This window comes from Homo sapiens, chromosome 2 (genome assembly GCF_000001405.40).
Source record: "Homo sapiens chromosome 2, GRCh38.p14 Primary Assembly".
Classification (NCBI taxonomy): domain Eukaryota; kingdom Metazoa; phylum Chordata; class Mammalia; order Primates; family Hominidae; genus Homo; species Homo sapiens.
Window position 1 is genome coordinate 38,471,221 of NC_000002.12, and position 24,915 is coordinate 38,496,135.

Sequence of the window (24,915 nt, forward strand, 5' to 3'; positions counted from 1 at the left end):
GGTTGAATCTTAGTGAAATCACACATAATAACCCTTGGGCTTGCTTCTTAATATAAAAGCACAGCATTTAGCTTGTCTATTGCCATTTGCTTTTTCTTATAGCTCAGTAAATTTGGTTTTACAGAATTTAGAACAAACACCAAAGATCTACTGGTAGCATCAAAAGGTTGGTGTGGTGTGGTTGAGCATCTTTCTCTCTGTCTCTCTCTCCGTCTCTCCTCTTCTTTTTTTTTTTTTTCTTTGAGACAGTCTCACACTGTTGCCTAGGCTGGAGTGCAGTGGAGTGATCTCAGCTCACTGCAAGCTCCCAGGTTCACACCATTCTCCTGCCTTAGCCTCCCGAGTAGCTAGGACTACAGGTGCCTGCCGCCACACCCAGCTAATTTTTTTTTTTTTTTTTGTATTTTTAGTAGAGACGGGGTTTCACTGTGTTAGCCAGGATGGTCTCCATCTCCTGACCTCATGATCTAACCACCTTGGCCTCCCAAAGCGCTGGGATTACAGGTGTGAGCCACCACACCCAGCCCCTCTCCTTTTCTTTTTCTTTGTTTGCTCTGATCTTTTTTCTTCATGTACATTATTGGTTTTTCGAGACAGGGTGATAACCTTTTTTTAAAATATATTTTTTATATTGCTTGAGGCTGAGAGAAGCTATTTTCATTCTTGGAACTCCCTAAACCATTCCTGTGACCGGTTTCTGCCTATAAGCGACTACTTAATGAGTTTTATCATATGGAGAATAAACCCTGGGAAACCAAAATGCATAGTCTTGTCCTTTGGTGGCATGCACTGTTCTCTGGGCACATTTGTTCGTTGAACACATACACATAATGTATCAGGCACTAAGGATGCAGCAGGGAACAAAACAGAAAAATCCCTGCCCTTAGGGAGCTTATACTCTAATAGTAACAAATAAGCAGACAGTAAACAAATAAGCAAATAAGCACATAGTAGGTCAGATGGCAATAAAGTCGAAGGAGTGGGGAAAGGCAGGCTAGAGGAAAATAGGGATTGCTGAGGATGGGTGGTTACTATTTCATATGGAGTAGTCAAAGAAGGCTTGTGAATCAAGAAACAGACGTCTGAAGCAAGTAAGGGCATGAGGCAGCTCACAGTCTGGGAGAAGAGAGCTCCTGGCTGGGGAGAAACAGCATTGTGTCAGGCTACAAATAACTTCCACCAAGTACCAGTGATTTCTGACTCGTCAACTCCACCTTGCCGATGACACTGTCCTAGAGGTTAGTTTTTTTCGTTTGTTGTTTGTTTGTTTGTTTTAATTTTGAGATGGAGTTTCACTCTAGTTGCCCAGGCTGGAGTGCAATGGCATGATATCAGCTCACTACAACCTCTGCCTCCTGGGTTCAAGCAATTCTCCTGCCTCAACCTCCTGAGTAGCTGGGATTACAGGCACCTGCCACAATGCCCGGCTAATTTTTTGTATTTTTAGTAGAGATGGGGCTTCACCATGTTGGCCAAGCTGGTCTCTAACTCCTGACCTTAGGTGATCCACCTGCCTCGGCCTCCGAAAGTGTTGGGATTACAGGCATGAGCCACCGCGCCTGGCCCCTAGACGTTATCAGACACTGATTTAGGGAGAAGACATTGCGCTGTTTCGTTCCATGAGCAAGCACATGTGCTAAGGATTCTGTGCTGAAAGACACAGATGATCCCTGCCCACCTGATATTAGTGACAAATCAAAAAATGACTGTCCACGCTGGTCAGGCTACGATTGCAGTAAGAATGCTGCAAAGAAGGGAGGTACAACATGCAAGTCTTCCGGAATAGGAAGAAGGATAATTTCAGGCAGAGGAAATAGCAGGCATAAAGGCACAGAGGTAGAGAGGATGGTGCATTCAGGGATCCTCTAGCTGTTTGGTCTGGTTGGGAGGTGAGTGTCAAGAAATGAGGATAGAAGCAAGCAAAAAGTAGAAGTAGAAGGTTGGGCATAGTTGCTCATGCCCATAATCCCAGCATTTTGGGAGGCCGAGGCGGGCAGATCACTTGAGGCCAGGAGTTCAAGACCAGCCTGGCCAATATGGTAAAACCCTGTCTCTACTAAGAGTATGAAAATTAGCCGGACGAGGTGGCATAGGCCTGTAATCCCAGCTACCTGGGAGGCTGAGGCACGAGAATTGTTTGAACCCAGGAGGTAGAGGTTGCAATGAGACTGCACTCCAGCCTGGGCAACAGAGTAAGACACTGTCTCAAAAAAGAAAAAAGAAAGAAATGATGATAGAATTGGGCAGAAATGTGGGTGTCACTGTACTGTCTGTACATTATGAAAATGCTCTCTGTAGCACTATTAAAATCCTTCCTAGTTGAAATGAAAGAAGTGGGCTGGGGTGTGGTACTGTCATGGGGAGGCTCTAGAGAGGAAGACAGGAGCACACATAAAATCATAAATTTTAATTTACAGCAGAAAAATAAACTGATCAGACTCGCCTTTTATAAAGATTTCCTTGATACACAAGGGATGAAAAGAGGGAGAGCGTGGAAACAGGTGAATCAGTGAAGAGGCTGACAGATCCATGGTAATCCAGCTGAGAAATTCCCTGGGCCCACCCAGAGGGACTGACAGAAGACAGGAAAGAGTGGGTTGAAACTGACGGCTATTGTGAAGACAGGATTGACACCAGCCGAGGGGGGTTAGATATTGGGCACAAGAAACAAGAGTAGGGGAAAGGGAGTTGTTCTCTCATAGAAGACAGATGTTGGCTTTAACACAGTAGTTGTAGAACTGGCCAATGAATTTGGGTTAGTAGATTCCAACTACAGAATATCACAAAATACAAGATAAGATATGAAATGTCATTAATTCTTCAAAAAAAAAAATGCCAGGATTTACATATTTCAATATCCCTTCCTTGAAGGCTAAGCATTTCCTCCTACAGTGACGTCACTTCTAAGAATTACTCAGGGCTTCTGAAGGGGACTTCCCTTCGTAACCGTATCCCAAGAGCTAGAAAATTCTCATCCTTTTAGGAAAAGTTTGATTTTCAGAAGAGATGCAATGTCATTTGCAGCAAGCAGATATGTGGTTGCCTGGGACAGGGAGGTGGGGTCATGGAGCAGGAGGGATGGAATACAGAAGGGTCACAAGAAAGCTTTGAAAGGTGTTGGACATGTTTCTTATCTTGATTGTGGTGATGGTTGCATGAATGAATACATGTGTCAAAACTCATCAAACTGTACACTTACATATGTGCAGTTCATTGTAGGTCAATTCTACCTTGAGAAAGCTATTTTTAAAAAGTTATTTGCTGCAAAAAGTAGTGACTAAGGTCCATCACCAAGCTGAGGAATCCCCCTTCCTTTATTTTTTAGTGAAAATGTAAGAGAATACTTTTCTCCTGTGTCTTCCAAGTTGACTTGGAGCCAATTCTCAATTGTAGGTGGTTGTTTTTTTGTTAAAAAAAATTTTTTTATAGAATCACTGAAACAAGTGATCTTTCTCCACTATAGGACAGTCCTCGTGTGGGCATGTAAGTTCTAGAACATATGTTTTTAAGCTTTACAGGCATGTTCTGTCATCTAAATTGGAATCCAGTGACTTGGCATCTTTTGGTTCTTCTACTCAGGCTCCATGAGGGACAGCTCTCCAGGTCTCAGATTTCCTCATCTGGAAATGTATTTTTCCCTTTGCTTAGCTCATTCGGATAAAGGTTTGGATGAGAAGTGTCATTGCTTCCCCTAGCTAGGATTTGGGTTTCAGACATCCAGGGCCAGCCTCACAGAGCTGGAATCCCAGAAAGCTTTCTTTGCACATGCACGAACATACACACATGCACACCCAACCCCCTGCCAAGAAAAAATTGTCCTCTGACCAGTTTGCCAATGTCTGGCATTACAGCATTTCTTCCTCCTTCCTTTTAGGATAAACATTTCATTCTCTCAGAATCCTGTTTGAAAATAGAATCCTGGAGGTCAGGCCTGGATGCTGTGCCAACGGGGAGAGCTAAAGGTATCCAGCGGCACCATGAGGACACTGGTGTCCAAGAGAAGAGGCCACCAGAGGAGGGCAGGGAATGCAGAGGGGCAAAGTACCACTGGGGGCCTGAACTATAGCTACTTCACCATTGTCTTATTCATTTATTTATTTATTCAAAAGGCATTTATGTTGCATCAACATACCCACCTTAATTCAACATCTGGGCTTAGTACAGAGTACAGTTATACAAAACAACAAGTTTAGCGAAGTTGATTAGCAAGCTAAAACTGCACTTTGACACCTATCAATAGCAAGAGAGTTGGCCGATGAGTCAGCAGTTGGTCCCACAATAACTCAGAGGGCAGACCACATGTTCATATCAACCTTTAACAGCAGTTTGGAATTAAATGAGACAGAATATTGATAAATGGAAATTTCAGGGAAGTAGTAAAATATGAATGCAAAACAGGTGGGGACAATATTTAAATCGTTCATCTAAAAATAGTCTAATTCCATGCAGTAGCCAAACCCTATTAGGTTTCAAGTTCATTTGGGTTCACGGTTTGTCTGCCGCCTTCTTTGACTTTACCAGGCCAAGATTGGGAGGAAAGAGGGTCCCCTTCACCATCTTTTGTTTGTATTTTTTGTGAGACAGGGTCTCTCTGTGTTGCCCAGGCTGGTCTCAAATTCCTGGGCTCAAGTGATCTGCCTCAGCTTCCCAAGGTGCTGGGATTACAGATGTGAGCCACCATGCCCAGCCCCCTCCACCATCTTTATACTCATCCATGCACTGGCATCATCTGAGGCCGAGGTCAAGAACTTAGGGTTTCAGGAACCAGGAAGAAATGTTGAACAGGAGCTGCTGAGAGTTGGAAAGGACTTGGGAGTGAATTACAAGGAAAATTCATCTCTTAAATCTCCCTTTGGATTTGACTCCTTTCGGACAAACAAAAGTAGAACCATAGTGGGGTCAGGCATAAAATTTCCAAACACTTGGCTGGGCATGGTGGCTCCCACCTGTAATCCCAGCACTTTGGGAGGCCAAGGTGGGCAGATCACTTGAAGTCAGGAGTTCGAGACCAGCCTGGCCAACATTGCAAAACCCTATCTCTACTAAAAATACAAAACTTAGCCCCGCATGGTGGTGGGTGCCTGCAACCCCAGCTACTTGGGAGACTGAGTCAGGAGAATCACTTGAACCCAGGAGGTGGAGGTTGCAGTGAGCCGACATCGCGCAACTGCACTCTAGCCGGGGCGACAGAGTGAGACTCCGTCTCAAAAAAAAAAAAAAAAATTCCTGAACACTTACTTGGCATCTCCTGTGTGCTAGGTGCTTGCTAGGCCCAGGAGACATACAGGAGAGGGAAGCAAGGCCCCAGATGTGCCGCAGTTCACATCTACTCAGCTGTAACCCGGGGCAACAGTCTCAAGAACCAAGCTTCCTCCTCAAAGCTCATCCATGAGACTAGCAAAGACACAGCTGCCCAGGAAGTTCCACTGTTGAGGGAGAGAGTGGAAATCAGGGCCCAGGCTGGGGATTGAGGGGAGTTTCATGGTGCCTTCCATCTGCCACCCTCCTACAGGAACTGCCCCCTGATAAAGGGCTGAGCCCAGGATCCCAGGATGTGTGCCATGTGACCGTGCGCTCTTGCCATCCCCTCCCTCTCCACACTGACTTGAGGAGGGCTGGGAGGGGCCATCTGCCGAGCTGGTGGCCCAGGCCCTCAGGCCCTGTATGGACGCGGGCTAGGGCCACTTGTCTTCTCTCTCATGGCAATGAGAGCAGCCTCACTCCACTGGCTATGGCCGGAGACAGTATTGTTTTACATCTATTGCTATTTGCATGCTGCTCTGTTGAATGTGCCTTTCTCCTGGTGATGTGGAGTAAGCCAGACAGGGCACGAATAGCAAAATGCAAGAGGGAGTCAGGGAAGAAGCTGGTGGCAGGATGGGATGGAGCAGGCCCAGAGCTTGCCAAGGCACCTGGAGGGGCCTGGGATGAAGGTGACCAATGCCACTGCAGGGTCTTTAGAGCCAGCCAGACAGGCTCCAGAGCCACCTGCTGTCCTCCCTGCTGCATGGCCCCCGGAAGGCTTGACCCCATCTGGCTCCTGTCTTAGATACATGTGTTAGGTATCTGTGGATATCTGTGGGAAGCTCCACATCACTCCACTTGGGGCACCATCAAACTCACCCCCAAGCCCCCCTTATTTGAGTGTGCTTGAGAAAGTTTCTGTTCTGGCAAACAAATGAGCCAAATGGCAGTTGTGCCAGAAGCCTCCCGCCTCTGCTGAGCGCAAAGGGTGGAAACCATGATGTGGTCCCAAGGAGACCAGGGTGGTCTTTCCTAGAGCCCTTTGCCCGTTTTGGAACAAAGAGGGTGAACCCACAGCTCTGTTTACCTGCTAGGCGCTTAATATGGTTTTTGTTTTTTTTCTGTTACAAATCAGTTTGCCAAAGTTTAGAGTCAGCAATGGGGTCCAGCAGAAATTAAACTAGAGCAGGGTCACACACCTGTAGCTCCCTTAATTAGCTGTGTGAGACTGGCCAAGTAATTTAAGTCTATGTCCTAGTTCTCTCATCAGAAATACAGGACAAATAATATTTGCGTTGAAGATTTCATATGAAGATCACGTGGGAAAACAGGCACAAGAAGCCTTGGAAATGCATGAGCAAGAGCAACACTGTTTCATGAAGTGGGAATGAAAATGGGAGGAATGAGGGTGGTATCACTCATGTCAACCAGCCGAGAAGTCCCTACCATCCCCCTCCACCAAGCTCAACGGCCTCAACTAAAGAAGCCAAAAGATCAATCTCTGAATCCCTCCCAAACAACCCAAAGGCTGTGGCTACCTGCCTACACCAAAGTTGCTAATTCCACAAGGAATGTTAGCAGAATTGGAGTTTGTTCCCCTCCTCCACCCCCTCCATCTCCATCCTCAGATACAGATATAGATATATAGATTAGACATATAGATAAGTACAGGTATATACATAGATATAGATATAAATAGACATAGACATAGATATAGTTAGAAACAGAAATAGATAGATATAGATAAGTATAAATATCAGTATAGGTGAAACCGCTTTTACAAAAATTATAACTAAGGAAATCATGAGAGTGAAAGAAATCAGACCTAACCAACTCCATCTTGCTTCTAACCTATAAGCTGTGCTTGTTCATTCCTGGGCATAGGCTGAACTAACTTTGGGAAGGAATTCAGTTCATGGTTTGACTCTGAAACAGAATTGATAATAGCCCTTTCCCAAAAAGACCTCCTTCTTGCTTGGGGGCCAGTCTGCCTTTACAGGACTAACAAATTAGCTACAAGATTAGAAATTACAGTTTAGGGGCCAGGTGCAGTGGCTCACACCTATAATCCCAGCACTTTGGGAGGCAGAGGTGGGCAGATCACTTGAGGCCAGGAGTTCGAGACCAGCCTGGCCAACATAATGAAACTCCATCTCTACTAAAAATACAAACATTAGCTGGGCATGGTGGCACACGCCTGTAATCCCAGCTGTTCTGGAGGCTGAGGCAGGAGAATCACTTGAACCCGGGAGGAGGCGGTTGCAATGAGCTGAGATCATACCACTGCACTCCAGCCTGGGTGACAGAGGCGAGACTCCGTCTCAAAAGAAACAACAAGAAAAAGAAATTACAGATTAGGGGTCATGCAGCCTCTTGTTCCAAGACTCTGAGCCTCCCCAAATTGTTCCTGGGGATAACATCACTATTGTAAAACCTGGGATCGGTGCTTGAGATATTTTGCAGACCCTGCACTTGATGGATCAGCTAATACCACCCAGACTGGTAATCTGGCTCAACCAGTTCTGCCATCCCACCCAGGAACAGAAGACAGCAAGAAAAACTCACTTCGACCCCCTATGATTCCATCTTCAACCTGATCAATCTGTGCTCCCCACTTCCCAAGCCCCTACTCACCAGATTATCTTTAAAAACTCTGATCCCTGAATGCTTGGGAGACTGATTTGAGTAACAATAAAAGTCCAGTCTCCCGCACAGCCAGCTCTACATGAATTACTCGTTCTCCATTGTAATTCCCCTGTCTCGATAAATCAGCTCTGTCTAGGCAGCAGGCAAGGTGAACCCGTTGGGTGGATACATAGGTATAGATAGTTAGAGGTATAGGTATAGAGATAAAAAGATGTAGACATCAAGATGCTTCCAGCTGCAGGTAGCCACACAACCCAGTTGAAAGTGGCTTAAACAGAGCCAGGCACGGTGGCTCACGCTTGTAATCCGAGCACTTTGGGAGGCCAAGGCAGGCAGATCATGAGATCAGGAGATCGAGACCATCCTGGCTAACATGGTGAAACCCCATCTCCACTAAAAATACAAAAAAATTGGCCAGGCGTGGTGGTGGGCGCCTGTAGTCCCAGCTACTCAGGAGGCTGAGGCAGGAGAATGGTGTGAACCCGGGAGGTGTAACTTGCAGTGAGCCGAGATTGTGCCACTGCACTCCAGCCTGGGCGGCAGAGCAAGATTCCGTAAAAAAAAAAAAAAAAAAAAAAAAAAAAAAAGAAAAGAAAAGAAAAGAAAGAAAGAAAGAAAGAAAGAAAGAAAGAAAGAAAGAAAGAAAAGAAAGAAAGATGCTTAAACAAAATTCTCATAACTAGTTCCAGTTCCAAGCCTGGGCGGCAGAGCAAGATTCCGAAAAAAAAAAAAAAAAAAAAAAAAAAAGAAAAGAAAAGAAAAGAAAGAAAGAAAGAAAGAAAGAAAGAAAGAAAGAAAGAAAGAAAGAAAAGAAAGAAAGATGCTTAAACAAAATTCTCATAACTAGTTCCAGTTCCAAGATGTGTTAATTTAGTGGCACCTCAGTGCCATGAAGGACTCAGAACTTCCCATTTCCTTTCTACATTGGCTGATGTCCTCAGGCTTATTGCCACAGGGTGTCACAAAGGCTGCTTTAGTGCCACACAGTGCATTCTCCCCGAGACACATCCAAAAGCAGGAGGGGAGATTTTTCTCCAATGTCTCTTTTTATTAGGGCAGAAAATATTCAGGAACGTTCTCCTTCTCATACACACCCACTCCATATAGACCCAGCCTCTCTGGAGGGAGTGGGCCCTGCCAGCAAGGAAGAAGGACAGGGTGAGGGGGTGGCATGGAGGAGACAGCTGAAGCGATGGGGAGAGGGTTCGAGTGCACGGAATGGCTCAGGTGCAAGAATTCAGTTCATTCTTGCTAAGCAAAGCAAGAGGAATTTGTTTCTGAGTCTTAATTGGCCCACAAAATTGCTGTGGAAGCTGAAGAAATCTTAATGGTCACCCTGCAGACCTGGACCACCAACCAAGCTGCTACTTGGTCTGTGCTCAGAAAGCCAAGGGCTCCATAGCCAGACTTCCACGGCCAAACTCAGGAAGCCCCCAGGAGTGTTGCCAGCTCAATGACTACACGGTGCCCACCATAGGGCACACCACCCAAAAGGTGACTCAGCCTGCCTCTTAACACCCACAAGGCCAGGGACCAGACACTGAGATGTCCACTTTGGCTACTGCAGAGAAACTAAACACTTCCCCAACCAAATTGTCTAAGAGAATCTTGCCCACCCCCCAACTTCAGCCATTTAAATGTCACAGGAGAGCATCCAATGGGCAGAATCAAGTTACAGCAGAAATTATAGCTGCAAGAGAGTCTGGGAAATGTGATTGTGAGCTCTCAATCCCCTGCAATTACAGGAAGGCACCACAGAAGAAGGGTGGAAGACACTGAGCTCCAGTCCCCCAAAATCTACCACAGCAGTTAGCTGTGTCTGCCACCCCCTTCTCTCCACAGTTTCTAACTTTGATTTGGGTCATTCCATATGTTGAAGGGGAGAAGGGAGGAACTCTATCCCAGAATCCAGGGTTGCAATGCATGACAATTAACATAGCTCATTCTCCTGGCCACGGTAATTGGCTGAGGCAGTCACATGACTGTGGGCTGCTGAAGCTGATAAAACCTCAGGACTTTTGCTCAAGCTCCTGGAAAATGGGTTTGCTCTTTCCAGCTGAACATAAAAAACTCTGGAGCTGCAACATCCACCTTCCACTGGGAGCAAAGAGCCTTCTGAAAAATGGAGGAACTGAGATGAGGCAAAGCCAATATGATATTTTGAACCCTTGGATTCAGCCCTTCCTGAGGCCACCTAGGCTTTTGAGGAACATGAACCAATATCTTTTCTTTTTGTTTAAGTCAATTTGAGTTGTTATCTGCAAGAAAAACAGATAGAGGAAGGTTATCAAAGACTCACTTTGATTATTTTCTTGAACATGCAGGCGGTGGTCACTGGCTTACTGAGATCAGTCCTCCAGCTCCTTAAAAGTTAACTACTCACGGGCTGGACACGATGGCTCATGCCTGTAATCCCAGCACGTTGGGAGGCTGAAGCGGGAGGATCACGAGGTCAGGAGATCGAGACCATCCTGGCTAACACAGTGAAACCCTGTCTCTACTAAAAATACAAAAAATCAGCTGGGCATGGTGGCGGGCGCCTATAGTCCCAGCTACTCGGGAGAATGGTGTGAACCCGGGAGGCGGAGCTTGCAGTGAGCCGAGATTGCGCCACTGCACTCCAGCCTGGGTGACAGAGCGGGACTCCATCTCAAAAATAAATAGCTTCTCTCGCCAGGCATCCTCGTGGAAGTGACATCGTCTTTAAACCCTGCGTGGCAATCCCTGACGCACCGCCGTGATGCCCAGGGAAGACAGGGCGACCTGGAAGTCCAACTACTTCCTTAAGATCATCCAACTATTGGATGATTATCCAAAATGTTTCATCGTGGGAGCAGACAATGTGGGCTCCAAGCAGATGCAGCAGATCCGCATGTCCCTTCGCGGGAAGGTCGTGGTGCTGATGGGCAAGAACACCATGATGCGCAAGGCCATCCGAGGGCACCTGGAAAACAACCCAGCTCTGGAGAAACTGCTGCCTCATATCTGGGGGAATGTGGGCTTTGTGTTCACCAAGGAGGACCTCACTGAGATCAGGGACATGTTGCTGGCCAATAAGGTGCCAGCTGCTGCCCGTGCTGGTGCCATTGCCCCATGTGAAGTCACTGTGCCAGCCCAGAACACTGGTCTCGGGCCCGAGAAGACCTCCTTTTTCCAGGCTTTAGGTATCACCACTAAAATCTCCAGGGGCACCATTGAAATCCTGAGTGATGTGCAGCTGATCAAGACTGGAGACAAAGTGGGAGCCAGCGAAGCCACGCTGCTGAACATGCTCAACATCTCCCCCTTCTCCTTTGGGCTGGTCATCCAGCAGGTATTCGACAATGGCAGCATCTACAACCCTGAAGTGCTTGATAAAACAGAGGAAACTCTGCATTCTCGCTTCCTGGAGGGTGTCCGCAATGTTGCCAGTGTCTGTCTGCAGACTGGCTACCCAACTGTTGCATCAGTACCCCATTCTATCATCAACGGGTACAAACGAGTCCTGGCCTTGTCTGTGGAGACGGATTACACCTTCCCACTTGCTGAAAATGTCAAGGCCTTCTTGGCTGATCCATCTGCCTTTGTGGCTGCTGCCCCTGTGGCTGCTGACACCACAGCTGCTCCTGCTGCTGCTGCAGCCCCAGCTAAGGTTGAAGCCAAGGAAGAGTCGGAGGAGTCGGACGAGGATATGGGATTTGGTCTCTTTGACTAATCACCAAAAAGCAACCAACTTAGCCAGCTTTATTTGCAAAACAAGGAAATAAAGGCTTACTTCTTTAAAAAATAAATAAATAAATAAATAAATAAATAATAAATAAATAAATAAATAAATAAATAGATAAATAAATAAAAAGTTTTCTACTCACACTGAAGTGACGAAGTCCAGAGAAGGTGGAGAGCTGTGAGCAGCCAGAGCGAGGGCTGCAGGATGGTCAGCGGCAGCCTCTGCTTTCCTCCACTCCACAGACACTACTCCTGTCTCTTAACTTGCCCATGGGCTGGAGCTGTGCTAATTTTGCTCTTAAATATTATTAGAGGTCTTAACATCTTCCTCGGGGATCCCACTGAAAAGTAATAACATCAGAACACATTATTACAGTTTCAGATACATCTTAAAATATATACTGTATCTAAAATTTTACATTTTGGATGAATAAACACTCTCATTAATCAAATAAACCAATTAATAAGAACTAATATATATTTCTTTTTTCTTTTTCTTTTTCTTTTTCTTTTTTTTTGAGATGGAGTCTCGCTCTGTTGCCCAGGCTGAAGTGCAGTGGCATGATCTCGGCTCACTGCAACCTCCGACTCCCAGGTTCAAGCGATTCTCCTGCTTCAGCCTCCCAAGTAGCTGGGATTATAGGCACCCACCACCGCACCTGACTAATTTTTGTATTTTTAGTAGAGATGGGGTTTCGCCATTTTGGCCAGGCAGATCTCAAACTCCTGACTTCAAGTGATCTGCCCGCCTCGGCCTCCAAAGTGCTGGGATTACAGGCATGAGCCACCACACCCGGCCTACCCCATTTTACATAATGTGATTATTATGCATTGCATGTCTGTATCAAAACATCTCATGTACCCCACATACACCTACAACATACCCACAAAAATTAAAATAGAAAAAATGGTTTTAAGTATAAGGAATATTAAAAATATCCACAAAAGAAACACAAATGATCAATAAACATTCTAAAATTTAAAATATATATATATTTTTCTTCCTTTCTAATATCAAAGATGTTGCACTTATGAACTACTCAACACATTTAAGCTGATTTTTTTTTTAAGCCACAGCCTGGATGAGGAGAGACAGAGGCCCAGGGAGCCTGACTGTCCTCAGCCTTGAGTGAAGAGCAGGGCAGGGAGAACCCCAGTGAGTCAGTGCCCAGTGGGCTCTGTGTTGTGCGGCCCAGATCTCCCTTTAGGAAAGGAAAGCTGATTGCCCCAGATGCTGGAGGGGTTGTCAGCTGATAGGTCTCAGCTATCAATTCTCTTGGGGAATTATTGTGGCTGAAGATAACTGCCTCACCCAAGATCATGCCTCCTTTCAAGGGCAGCCAGTATCCCCGATGCACGGAGAAAGGTCAGGCTCCCTCACCTCAACTGGGATAAGTGAAGGGCCTGCCCAACTCCAGAGCTCCCTGGTGCCTGGCTGAGGCCTTCATGGGGCCTGAATTGCAGTCCAGCTTCCTTCCCTTCCTTTCCCTTCCCTTCCTCAGGCGCTGATCCTAAAGGCACTCCCTAGTAAACATCCTGCTCTCTAATTTCCATTGGAGTCGGCTTTCCAGGAAACCCCCTGCACCACTGTAGTACAGGCAGGAGTTCCTGGACTCCAGGATTTAACCAGGTAGAAGAGAAAAGAATTCCAAACCCATTTACAGCATCTATTCCTGCTGCCCCTCTCCCCGCTCCATCTTCTTGTGGAAATAAAATTACCCTTCATGGTCCAGCTGCATGGCCCGCCTTCTCCTCAAAACTCCCCTGAACCACGAAGCAGCGGTGTCCCTCCCTGTCCTGAATTCCCACAGCATTTCATGTGTCCCCTTTTCAGGAAGCATCATCTGCTGGTATTTCCTCATTTCTGCATTTTCAGTGTCAGCCACTGAGTTCTTGAGTCTGTGAGACACCTTCTCAGAGCCATTTTTCTCATCTATAAAATGGGAGCAATGATACTCCTGGGGGTTTAATGAGCAACCAGATAATCTCCTGCTCCAGTGCCTGCCCCACAGGAAAAGCTCACTAGGCTAATTCCCTCTCTCCTTCCTCCTGAAGGGACCACTCTCCTCAGCCACAATGGGAGGTTTTCCCTCTTTCTGCTCTGGGGAGGAGGGGAGCAGCAGGAACCCCCCTGAGGACATTTCTGCCTCGTGGGCATCTGCCTTTTCCACACGCTGCCCTCCATGGCAGACTGGCTACTTGCAAAGAAAAATGGCATCATTTGGGCTTTGAAGAGACAAAGGACTCACACAGGTACTCCTAAGTGGTCAAACCGCAGTCAGCTTGTCCTAGAACATCTAAATCTCCAACTATTTTTAGGATCAGAGTTAATTTTCTGGCTTGGTGTGAGCTGCCAGGATGGGGGAGGTAGTTGAAAGGAGATGGTGTTTCACTCCTAGGTCTCTACCCAAAGGAACTGAAAACAGGGACTAGGGCAAGTGCTTGTACACCCATGTTCACTGCAGCACTATTCACAATAGCCGAGAGGTAGAAGCAACCGCAGTGTCTATCAACAGATGAATGGATGAATTGTGCCATACACAGACAACGAAATATGCTTCAGCCTTAAAAAGAAATAAAGTTCTGGCTGGGCACGGTGGCTCACTCCTGTAATTCCAGCACTTGAGGGGGGCCTGTAATCCCAGCACTTGAGGGGATGAGGCAGGCAGATCATGTAAGGCCAGGAGTTTGAGACCAGCCTGGCCAACATGGTGAAACCCCATCTCTACTGAAAATACAAAAATTAGCCAGGCATGGTGGCAGGCACCTGTAATCTCAGCTACTCAGGAGGCTGAGGCACAAGAATTGCTTGAATCCGGGAGGTGGAGGTTGCAGTGAGCCAAGATCGTGCCATTGCACTGCAGCCTGGGCGACAGAGCAAGACTCCATCTCAAAAAAGAAAACAAAAAAAAAAAAGAAAAGAAAAGAGAAATGAAGTTCTGACACATGCTACAATGTGGATGAACCTTGAAAACATTATGTTCAGTGAAATAAACTGAGACACAAAAGGACAACTATTACATGATTCTACTCATATGAAATATTTAGAATACTGAAAGTCATAGAGATAGAGAGTAGACTGGCAGCCACTAGGGGATGGGAGGGAAGTGAGAATAAGGGGTTATTGCTCAACGCGTGCAGAGTTTCTGTTGGGGACTATGTCAGCTAGACATGGTGAAACTAGACAGTGGGGATGGCTGCATACTAAATGTGAATGTATTTCATGCCCTGAATTGTCCACTTAAAAATGGCTAAAATAGCAAATTTTATGTTACATACATATTTTAGCACAATATTAAAAAATATTGTAATATCTCGGAAACCATTGCACTATAAGTGGGTGAATTGTATGATATGTGAATTATATCTCAGAAAAATATGTTATAAAAATAGATTACTATTCTGGGTCAAATTCAAAGAGCTGTGTAAATTTGAAGACGAGAAAAGAAAACAAAAAAGAAAAAGAAAACCCCATAATTGGACAAGTGGAATGGCATTATTTTCAGCCACGGTCTCCCTCCAGACTTCCTTCTTCCTGGCACCCAGAGCCATTTTAGGGCCACACAGTCTCCAGCAGAGTTTCCTGGAATTCATTGCAGGCAGATGCAATCTCCCAGGACCTCGGTCGTTTCATCTGGCAGCTAAAGACTCCCCAGGGTCGGGCAGGCCTTGAACAGATGCTAATGGTGTTCCTTCATCTCTCTGTACCTTTGGAGCTGGTTCTGGATATAGGGTAGTGGGAGTAGGGACCTCAAGAAGCAAAGAAGTGCTCTCTTCCGTCAGGACTCAGAGCCGACCAGGCTGGCTGCAGAGCACTAAGATGCAAGAGGCCACATGTTTTAATGTGTCCATATTCCCTCCCTCAACTCCCCACTGTGGTCCCCAGTCCCTACCACCACCACACACATAGCCTTGGACCCCAGGCCCTGGGACACAAGTGTGCGTGGAGTGCGCTGAATCTAACATGATAATTAATTAGGTAACCCACTTTGCATCATAGAGGAGTCAAGGACTCAGAGGCCTACACGGGGCAGATCTGAAACCCAGGTGAATGAAGCCAGTCCCAGCAGGCCAGGCAGAGCAGACAGCAAATGGGGTTAGCTGTTGCCACAAGGCTCCAGCCACTTGCTGCCATGCGGGAAAGTGGCCTTGTGTTGCCAGTGCTTCTGGATTTTAAAAAGGAGCCAAAACAAGGTTTTTTAGGTGAAATCTCTTAGTGTTCATTTCATTGCTGGCAACTATTTCAATTTTTTTTAAAAAAAGGAAATTAAAGCCAACTTCCAGGCCTAACAACATATTATTGGTAATATATCTGCAAGCCCAATATGAATTGTGACCTGCTGGTTTTTAACATCTGTTTAAACATAATCAGGCTGGGAGCAGTGGCTCACGCCTGTAATCCCAGTACCTTGGGAAGCCAAGGCAGGTGAATCACATGAGGCCAGGAGTTTGAGACCAGCCTGGCCGACATGGTGAAATCCTGTCTCTTCTAAAAATACAAAAATTAGCCAAGGGTAGTGGCAGGTGCCTGTAATCACAGCTACTCGGGAGGCTGAGGTGGGAGAATTGTTTAAACTCAGGAGGCAAAGGTTGTAGTGAGCTGAGATCGCGCCACTGCACCACTCCCGCCTGGGCATCAGAGTGCGACTCGGGAGGCTGAGGTGGGAGAATTGTTTAAACTCAGGAGGCAAAGGTTGTAGTGAGCTGAGATCGCGCCACTGCACCACTCCCGCCTGGGCATCAGAGTGCGACTCTGTCTCAAAAAATAAATAAACAAACAAATATAAACATAATCATTGTGATCAGGAACTGGTGCTGAGCTGATAGTGAGGAAGCTGATCCTGTCCTTGAACACGGGCCAAAGGAGAGCCCGGCACTCTCGGAGGCTGCTTGCTTTAATTTACTACAAACAGAAAAAAATTGGGCTGCAATTTATTTTAATTTCATGGGATTTTTAAACAATCTTATTTCCATTTGATGTTGATCATCCTAATGATGATTATAATGAGGATGGTCAAAGAACTCACTGGTTTGGGTTGAAGAGCACATGGGGTTCTTGGGGGAGCAGCAAGTACAGCGGGGCAGAGCGTGTGCTCCTTTAAAATTACACCCAGGACCACGGGTCCTCCTGCCTATGCCCAGCATGTGTCTCGGGGCCAGGTCAGAGGCTTCATTGTCAGATAGATATGGTCTATGCCACAGCTTCCTGAGCTGCGACATGGAAACACTAATACCTCACAGCGTCCTTGGGAGTTAAATGAGACACCTACAGGCTGGGTGCGGTGGCTCACATCTGTTATCCCGGCACTTTGGGAGGCCGAGGCTGGTGGATCACTGAGATCAGGAGTTCAAGACCAGCCTGGCCAACATGGTGAAATCCTGTCTCTACTAAAAATTAAAAAATTAGCCAGGCATGGCGGCAGGCACCTGTAATCCCAGCTGCTTGGGAGGCTGAGGCATGAGAATACTTAAACCTGGGAGGCAGAGGTTGCAGTGAGCCAAGATCGCACCCCTGCACTCCAGCCTGGGCGACAGGGAGAGACTCCACCTCAAAAAAAAATTTTTATATAAATGAGACACCTACAGGTCTCAGGTCTGTAAAATATCAGGCCACTTCCCAACAAATGCTTTACCTGTCCCACCCCCTACACATCTTGAGCATACCTCATCCTTGCTTACCAGGTCCAGTTTTAAAAAAAAATTACCTAGATCAGAGATAGACTTTGGCCCATGCCAAACCTCAGTGCTCTCTCTCTTTCTCTCTCTCTCTCTCTCTCTCTCTCTCTCTCTCTGTGTGTGTATATATATATATATATATATATATATATATATATATATATATACATATATATATATTTTTAGGCAGGGTCTCGCTCTGTCACCCAGGCTGGAGTGCAGTGGTCTGATCGTGGCTCACTGCAGCCTCAACCTCCTGGGCTCAAGTGATCCTCCTGCCTCAGCCTCCCGAGTAGCTGGGACTACAGGCACACACCACCACGTTCAGCTAATTTTTAAAAAAAAAACTTTGTGGAGGCAGGGTCTCACTATGTTTTCCAGGGTGTTCTTGAACTCCTGGGCTCAAGTGATCCTCCTGCCTCAGCCTCCCAAAGTGCTGGGATTACAGGCGTGAGCCACTGCGCCTGGCCAGCTCCATTTTTAATAGTTGACTGTCTTCTTCTTGACAGATTCTTTTTTTTAGGTAACTTTCATAAAGTTCCAAAATAATAATAGTTATTGGCATCCATCCTTTCTCTTTTAAAAAGGAGGGCAAGGGTGTATTTCGGGGACCAACGCAAACAGGTATGGACAGGTGGGCAGAGGTGGGGTTCAGCCAAGCCAGGTGAAAGGGCTCAGGGGGATGTCCAGCACCCAAGGAATGAAGCCAGCATCCTGGCCTTGAAACACTAGCTGGTCAGCTCTTTCCCCAGAGAGGCCCCTCTGGCTCTTGGGTACCTTTGTCTGCTGGGGGGAAGGAAAGGAACAAAAGTGGTATGTATCGAGCACATTTGCTTCTCCTTTTCACTCCCCACATCATGTAATGGTCACAGAATCCTATTCATCCTTCTGAAGGACGCTTCTCATCAACCCCACATTCAGTGCTCCACTGGGGACCTCATCACGATTTGCCTTCAAATCTCCAACTGCTCCACACTCCCCCAGACCACCTTCTGGGGACCTGGGGCTGGGGCCAGGGGAGACTCCACCTGTCTTTCCCAAGCTGAGAGTGGGGATGCAGACACTCAGTGGCTCTCAAGGGAAAAATGATTCCTTAGCCCCAGTCCCTCTGCAGCCTCAGGGCCCAACCCCACCATGCACCCAGCACCGAAGCCACACTGCGTTTATCATCATTTTCTGAATAGGCCAGGCCCAGGCACAACTCAGTGCCATTATTGACAGTATTGCCTTTGTGCCTGGCTTGCTTTTTTTTTTTTTTTTTTTTTTTTTTTCACAAGCCTTTAAGATGTTGTAACCCCATTCCTGCAAACAAGGTATCATGAAAGTTGGGTCCTTATTCCAGGGTTCAAGACAAATTTCATGATGACACAAGGCATGTGTTAAGGAATATGCTTGACTAGGGGAAGGGCAAATTTACCAAGCCAGGGCCTGCAAAATAAATGAAGGCAGAGGTCCCTGAACCCACCCATCTTCCCACAGCTGCTGGACCACACTGTGGGTCTATTTAGCAATGGAGGCCCCCACTGCACCTGTCATTCTTTTTTCATATCCTACAAGTAAAAACAAATTCAACAAGGCACTCTGGTGCAATGCAGTCTGGATTTGCCAGCTGTTTATAGAAGTTGTCTGAAAGTGCCAACTGCCTGGCCCTTGGAGCCCACAGGACAGAAGAGACCTTCTTGTCAGGGGAAGAACTGCTAAGGCCATGGGCTAGGTTCAGATGCAGCTTCTCCAATAGAGAGGAGATAGGAATCTCCCATCCAGCCCAAGCAACCTAGGGAAAGCCCCTGGGGTCACTTTAGACAATTCTGCTCCTTCCACCAAGCGAGCAAACTGAGGCTCGGAGCTTAAGGCAGGTGGGAAAGATCACATACCTCAGAGGTGGTGGAGTCCAGATTCTAGATCAGGCTCTTCCTACCATGCTGTATGTCACAATCACCCTCATTATCCAATCCAGGGTCCTCTGCAGCTGTGTGCAGGCCTCATTCTCTCATGGAGGGGCCCCCCGGAGTCAGCCCACCCATAGGTATCTCGAGTTTATGGGAGGTGAGGGTCCTGCCCTCCTGGGTTCTCCAGGATGACTGGAACCAAGAAGAAGTCTTGAGGATACCAACAATACAAGTTCAATTGTGCTGCCTTATCACCCGAGATTTCTAGATGGCAGGGTCACTTTTTCTAAGTTTGGTTGCCCAATTTTCAGTGCCTCCGCCAAAAAAAACCCGTGCATGCTCAAGTAAGTGCAGATATTATTAACATCTCATCTCCCTTTCCCAACACAGCAGAAACAGGGGCTCAACATAGATAATAGTGAAGTCCTATAGTGGGGCGTGTGTGTGTGTGTGTGTGTGTGTGTGTGTGTGTGTGTATGGATCCCTATGTGGGGTTCTGGGTTGAAAAACCTGGCAGGGGAGTTTGATAAACTGTCCTTACCTTTCACAGGATTCTGTGCAGTTTTGTGATAGCCAACCCATATGGGTCAAAGACTGCCATAAACTATGGACCTCTAATAGACAGCAGATAGAATACATAGCAATTTATACCCTATACTTGCTGTAATGTCAAAGTTTCAGATAATTTAATATAGAGGAATTCCAAAAGTAGTTTAAACACACACACACCATCATAAAATGGTGTTAAACCTGTCCTTCCCTGGCCCAGGTCAGGATATTTCAAGACGTACTTATATCCCCCACGTCTCCTCCTCCCCAGTCCTGAGCAGTCTTCTACTGCCCCATTTGGTCATGGTACTACCCTTGACCCTGATCAGAATTATTTAAAACAATGCAACTAGCCTTGCCCGTAAGGATTCATGTGTCCACTGATTGGCCTCCATATGGAAGACACTCCTTGGTTTCTGCTGTTTGCTGGAATTATTTTGCTGTGTCTGAGAAGTTGTTGAAGGGATGGCTTCATGCATCTATAGGCTCTATCTCCTCTGCACAGCTGTGGCAATGTCAGCCCTCAAGGTAAATGCAGTGAACGCCATGCGAGAAATCCCCGGTTGGAGACAAGATGCTGTGAGATGAGGATGACATTCCAAATAGTGCAGCAGGCATTTGGAGATACAGCCCAAGAAATTCCAGAGGGCATGCAAATTACTGCCAGCTACAGTAGATACTGGGACATGTGGACGGATGGTCTGAGGGTGGATGATTCCAGAGGGAGTCATTTCGGGAATGCACAATGACCCTCTCAGAAAGCAGTCAGCCAGAAGAAGGCCCAATGAGGATCCAAGAGTGACCTTGTGGTCCTCAACCTTACTGCCTTAGTAATGGGTGGAAAACAATCTAAATATAAAGGCATTTCTTTTTCTCCACTGTGCTTGCCTTGCTCAATTTGCAAGTCCAGGGACAAGGCCTACTATCTGGGATGTCAGAGAGCTAAGACTCCATTCTTTAATCATCCTTATTTTTAGTCATGGGAACAAGGGATTTGAATTACTATGCTATCATCTCCTTGGGCTAAAATGCATCTTCTACTAAGAATCTTCATGGAAACATTAGGTCTGATTTTTTTTTTCTTCCATAACCTTTATTGTTGGGGGCATAGGTATTCTCCAAAAACTACTGTTAAATAATCCAGATTTGCTAACCCATCTATAATCTTGTTCTGATTCCCTCTTTAGTTTCATCTTCTCCGTCATCATCATTACTCCACAGATCACTTAAATCCCCCTACTTGCACACCTACTACCTAGAGAATGTTGTTTTCAAAAGTCATCTTTCCTTTAATAGATAACTGCACAGAACAGCAAGCGTTATGCTCGTCATGGAATTTGGAGAGCAGGCTTGCATTTGGGAATTCAGCAGTCAGCAAAGGTGCTGGTCCTTTTTTTGGAGACCTGTCAGTCTTCAGTTGAATATCAGAGTACACTCCTGACCTGCTGCAGTTTGCATTCAGTGATTTTGACCTTTCCAGTAGGGTGTGTTGCAATGGTGAACTTCCTATTGGCTCAATGAGCCTCATTTGGAATCAGTTGGGTAATTATGTCTTTTCTGGCTTCCCACCCTTTCTTTTTTTTTTTTTTTTTTTTTTAACTTGCTATTAAAATTCATTTTTATTTTTATTTTTTGGAGTTGCTTGAATATATTTTAATAATTTTTAGATACTTTTTTTCTTTTTTTTTTTAATTATACTTTAAGTTTTAGGGTACATGTGCACATTGTGCAGGTTAGTTACATATGTATACACGTGCCATGCTGGTGCGCTGCACCCACTAACTCGTATCTAGCATTAGGTATATCTCCCAATGCTATCCCTCCCCCCTCCCCCCTCCCCACCACAGTCCCCAGAGTGTGATATTCCCCTTCCTGTGTCCATGCGATCTCATTGTTCAATTCCCACCTATGAGTGAGAATATGCGGTGTTTGGTTTTTTGTTCTTGCGATAGTTTACTGAGAATGATGGTTTCCAATTTCATCCATGTCCCTACAAAGGACATGAACTCATCATTTTTTATGGCTGCATAGTACTCCATGGTGTATATGTGCCACATTTTCTTAATCCAGTCTATCATTGTTGGACATTTGGGTTGGTTCCAAGTCTTTGCTATTGTGAATAATGCCGCAATAAACATACGTGTGCATGTGTCTTTATAGCAGCATGATTTATAGTCATTTGGGTATATACCCAGTAATGGGATGGCTGGGTCAAATGGTATTTCTAGTTCTAGATCCCTGAGGAATCGCCACACTGACTTCCACAATGGTTGAACTAGTTTACAGTCCCACCAACAGTGTAAAAGTGTTCCTATTTCTCCACATCCTCTCTAGCACCTGTTGTTTCCTGACTTTTTTATGATTGCCACTTACCACCCTTTCTAATTAGTGTGCTTTACCTAACCTGAGCCAGCAGCAACTGTCTCAAACTCTCTGCATCCCTTTCTACTTAATCTAAGCAGCTTGCTTGACTAGACAGTAAATATCAATGGCTAAAAGACTCAGAATTCTTCCTCCCCCTCTCTGTCCTCTCCCATTTTTCTTCTTCCTTGTCAACTTATGTGATAATAGTACCTTGATTTTTTTTTGTTTTTGTTTTTGTTTTTGTTTTGTTTTGAGATGGAGTTTCTCTCTTGTTGCCCATGCTGGAGTGCAATGGCATGATCTTGGCTCACCACAACCTCCGCCTCCCAGGTTCAAGTGATTCTCTTGCCTCAGCCTCCCGAGTAGCTGGGATTACAGGCATGCGCCACCACGCCCAGCTAATTTTGTATTTTTAGCAGAGACGGGGTTTCTCCATGTTACTCAGGCTGGTCTCGAACTCCCGACCTCAGGTGATCTGCCCGCCTCAGCCTCCCAAAAGTGCTGAGATTACAGGCGTGAGCCACCACACCTGGCCAATACCTTGATTTTTAATCATCCTTTTTATCTTTCCAGTTAGTGTCACACCTTTGAGTTCATCTGGGATAGGAGGGGAGAGGGGGCGGGTTGGAGGGCTGGTCTGAGTGCCCTCAAGATGAAAGCATTTCCAAGGCAGGGTCACCTGCTTAGACAGTTGCCCTGACCCCCTTCCCGTGTGGGAAGACAGGACAGAGCCCACGCAAATCTTCCTTGCAGTGGAGATGACCGAAGTCTGGCTCTTGGGATGCGTAGCTTTGATGAAGGTCACTCAGAAGCTGTTGGCAGGTATGAGCTCAAAACCTTGCTTGCTCTCATCCTACACATCTCCATGAGTTCAATGCTTCTCAGAAAGTTCTAGTCACAGAACCTTCACTTGAAACGAAATTCAAGCAGAATTGCACTGTTTGGAGCAGATAGCAGCTGAGTAGCTGAGAGCCAGGGATGTGGGGGTGCCAGGAATAGCCTTCCCCTCAGTCTCCCCTTGCCCCACCCTCTGTCCCTGCAGTACCCCCACCAAACATCCCAAGAACCACTGCCCCCCAGACCACGCAGCCTCCTTTAGCCAAAGGGTGTTGTAAGCTGAGCCTTCCCTATCCCCTATTCCTCTTTTCCCCAACCAGAGAGGACAGATGCTCCCAAGTAAATGAGCTGAAATTCAAGTCAGAGACATTCCTAGGGGCTGTTTACTTGGTGTTCCATGCCTAACGGGTTCGGATGTGTCCTCTGGCTGAATCATGCCTCTGATGGTCCAGCAGATGCTGCCAAGAAGCAGGGTTGGCGTTGGGCAGCAGGGTCGCCACTGCAGACATGTGGCATCTGATACCTCCCCACCTGCTTGACCCTTCCAGCATCTCTCCCTTCCGCAGACAGATTCCTGGCTCTGTTGTTTGGGGTTTCCTCATGCCTTCTCATCCTTTCTGTACTGTGTCTGCACTGAGTCTGAGATCAGGGAAGCATCTCAAATTACAGAGCAGGGATTTGGGAAAGGAGAGAAGATATGGAAATGTTGATACCCAAGAAAGTCCTGCTTTTAAAAAAAATTATTGGGTAGTACTCAGCAAGCTTCCAGCGGAGCGGATAGTAGACTCCACATCCCTTTGTACTTAATCTAAGAGGCTTGTTTGACTAGGCAATCTAGACATCTCCTGCGAGCAGCAGTAGTGTGCCGGACCTGGAGTCAGAAGCCTGGTTCTGCTTCCAGCTCAGCAGTGAACAGTTCCAGTGACGCTTTAAACTTGGCCTATATTGTTAATAAAATAAAATGTCATTTCCAAGGCCTCTTCTAAGCTCTATCTTTGTGTTTAACAGGCCACTGATAGCTTACTGCCTGGCAGTAAGTCCTCAGCCCCCTTCAGAGCAAAGGGGTCCAGGAGGCTCTTTCAGTGAAGTTGTTCTGGACAGTGTCCTGCACCTTGAATGAAATCAGCCTTGTAACCTGGCTCAGGCCAAAAGCATCCATACACTGGACCAAGGGAAGCTAGTCACTAGTCAGGTGGCCCATAGCCACTCTATCCAAAGGGGACCCTCCTTATTGATGGTGACCAGACCTGAGATTCTCTCATGCCAGGAAGATGACTGAAGTTCTTACAGAGAACATGCTGGAGCAACCCAGGAAGACAGGGTAATCTGAACAAGGACTGCCATTGCTCTACTTCTTCAGGGCACACCCATAGGCCAGTTCCGGGAGCACTGTGACCTAGCACTCAGTTTCTCATGTGGCCTTATGGTCAACACCCATCACCAGAGGAAGGTCAGGCCCATCTTGTCCTGGCAACCTAGTATCACCTGGAGGCGATGATTCCATTCTATTTTGCAAGGAGGTCATGATGTGTAGGAGGTAAGTCCTGGGTCTTAAATCAACTGAGATTGCAAATCGGGTGTTGAGCATTACTCCTTGTTTCTAACCCTACACATAGGATTAACTCCACGTGGGTCAATGGAGCAAAGATTTCTTCAAAATCAGGAGCCTGAGTAGTTTATTACTAATAAGGTGACCTTGAAAAAGATGCTTGACCTCTGTCTTAGTTTCCTCACCGCCTGATAGGGACAATGTTGTTCAATCTACCTACGTCCTAGGGCTGCTGTAGAAAGAAATCAAATGGAATCACGTACATGAACATACTCAGTCATACAATGGACTAAGTAAATAACTGTCCTTAAAACCCAGAGAGTGAGGGGCATGAGACAGGAGAGCATGGAACTAACAGCACTGGCTCTGGAATCAGACTTGATTGAGTTCAGATCATGGCTCTGCCAATTCCTACAAGAGTGACCTTGGACAAATTACTTAGCCTTTCTGGGCCTC

General features: G+C 46.3%; 1 long non-coding RNA gene and 1 pseudogene across 1 annotated transcript in view, besides 2 other annotated features; one reads left to right on the forward strand and one right to left on the reverse strand.

The window, feature by feature from the left end:
• LINC02613 (long intergenic non-protein coding RNA 2613) overlaps nt 1-24,915 on the reverse strand; it is a 57,104-nt gene that overhangs the window by 12,584 nt on the left and 19,605 nt on the right. The window contains exon 3 of the long non-coding RNA NR_110259.1: nt 11,739-11,936. This is a non-coding gene — a long non-coding RNA (long intergenic non-protein coding RNA 2613). The remainder of the gene's footprint in view (nt 1-11,738; nt 11,937-24,915) is intronic.
• Nucleotides 5,273-5,774: an enhancer, noted in NCBI's record as "H3K4me1 hESC enhancer chr2:38703635-38704136 (GRCh37/hg19 assembly coordinates)". NCBI's record gives its function as "activates a minimal SCP1, AML or CMV promoter by ChIP-STARR-seq in naive H9 embryonic stem cells {active_cell/tissue: H9 hESC(naive)}" and the evidence as "EXISTENCE:reporter gene assay evidence [ECO:0000049][PMID:30033119]".
• RPLP0P6 (ribosomal protein lateral stalk subunit P0 pseudogene 6) lies at nt 10,555-11,655 on the forward strand (annotated as a pseudogene).
• Nucleotides 14,638-14,807: a silencer, noted in NCBI's record as "silent region_11373". NCBI's record gives its function as "represses an Ori minimal core promoter by ATAC-STARR-seq in GM12878 lymphoblastoid cells {active_cell/tissue: GM12878}" and the evidence as "EXISTENCE:reporter gene assay evidence [ECO:0000049][PMID:35858748]".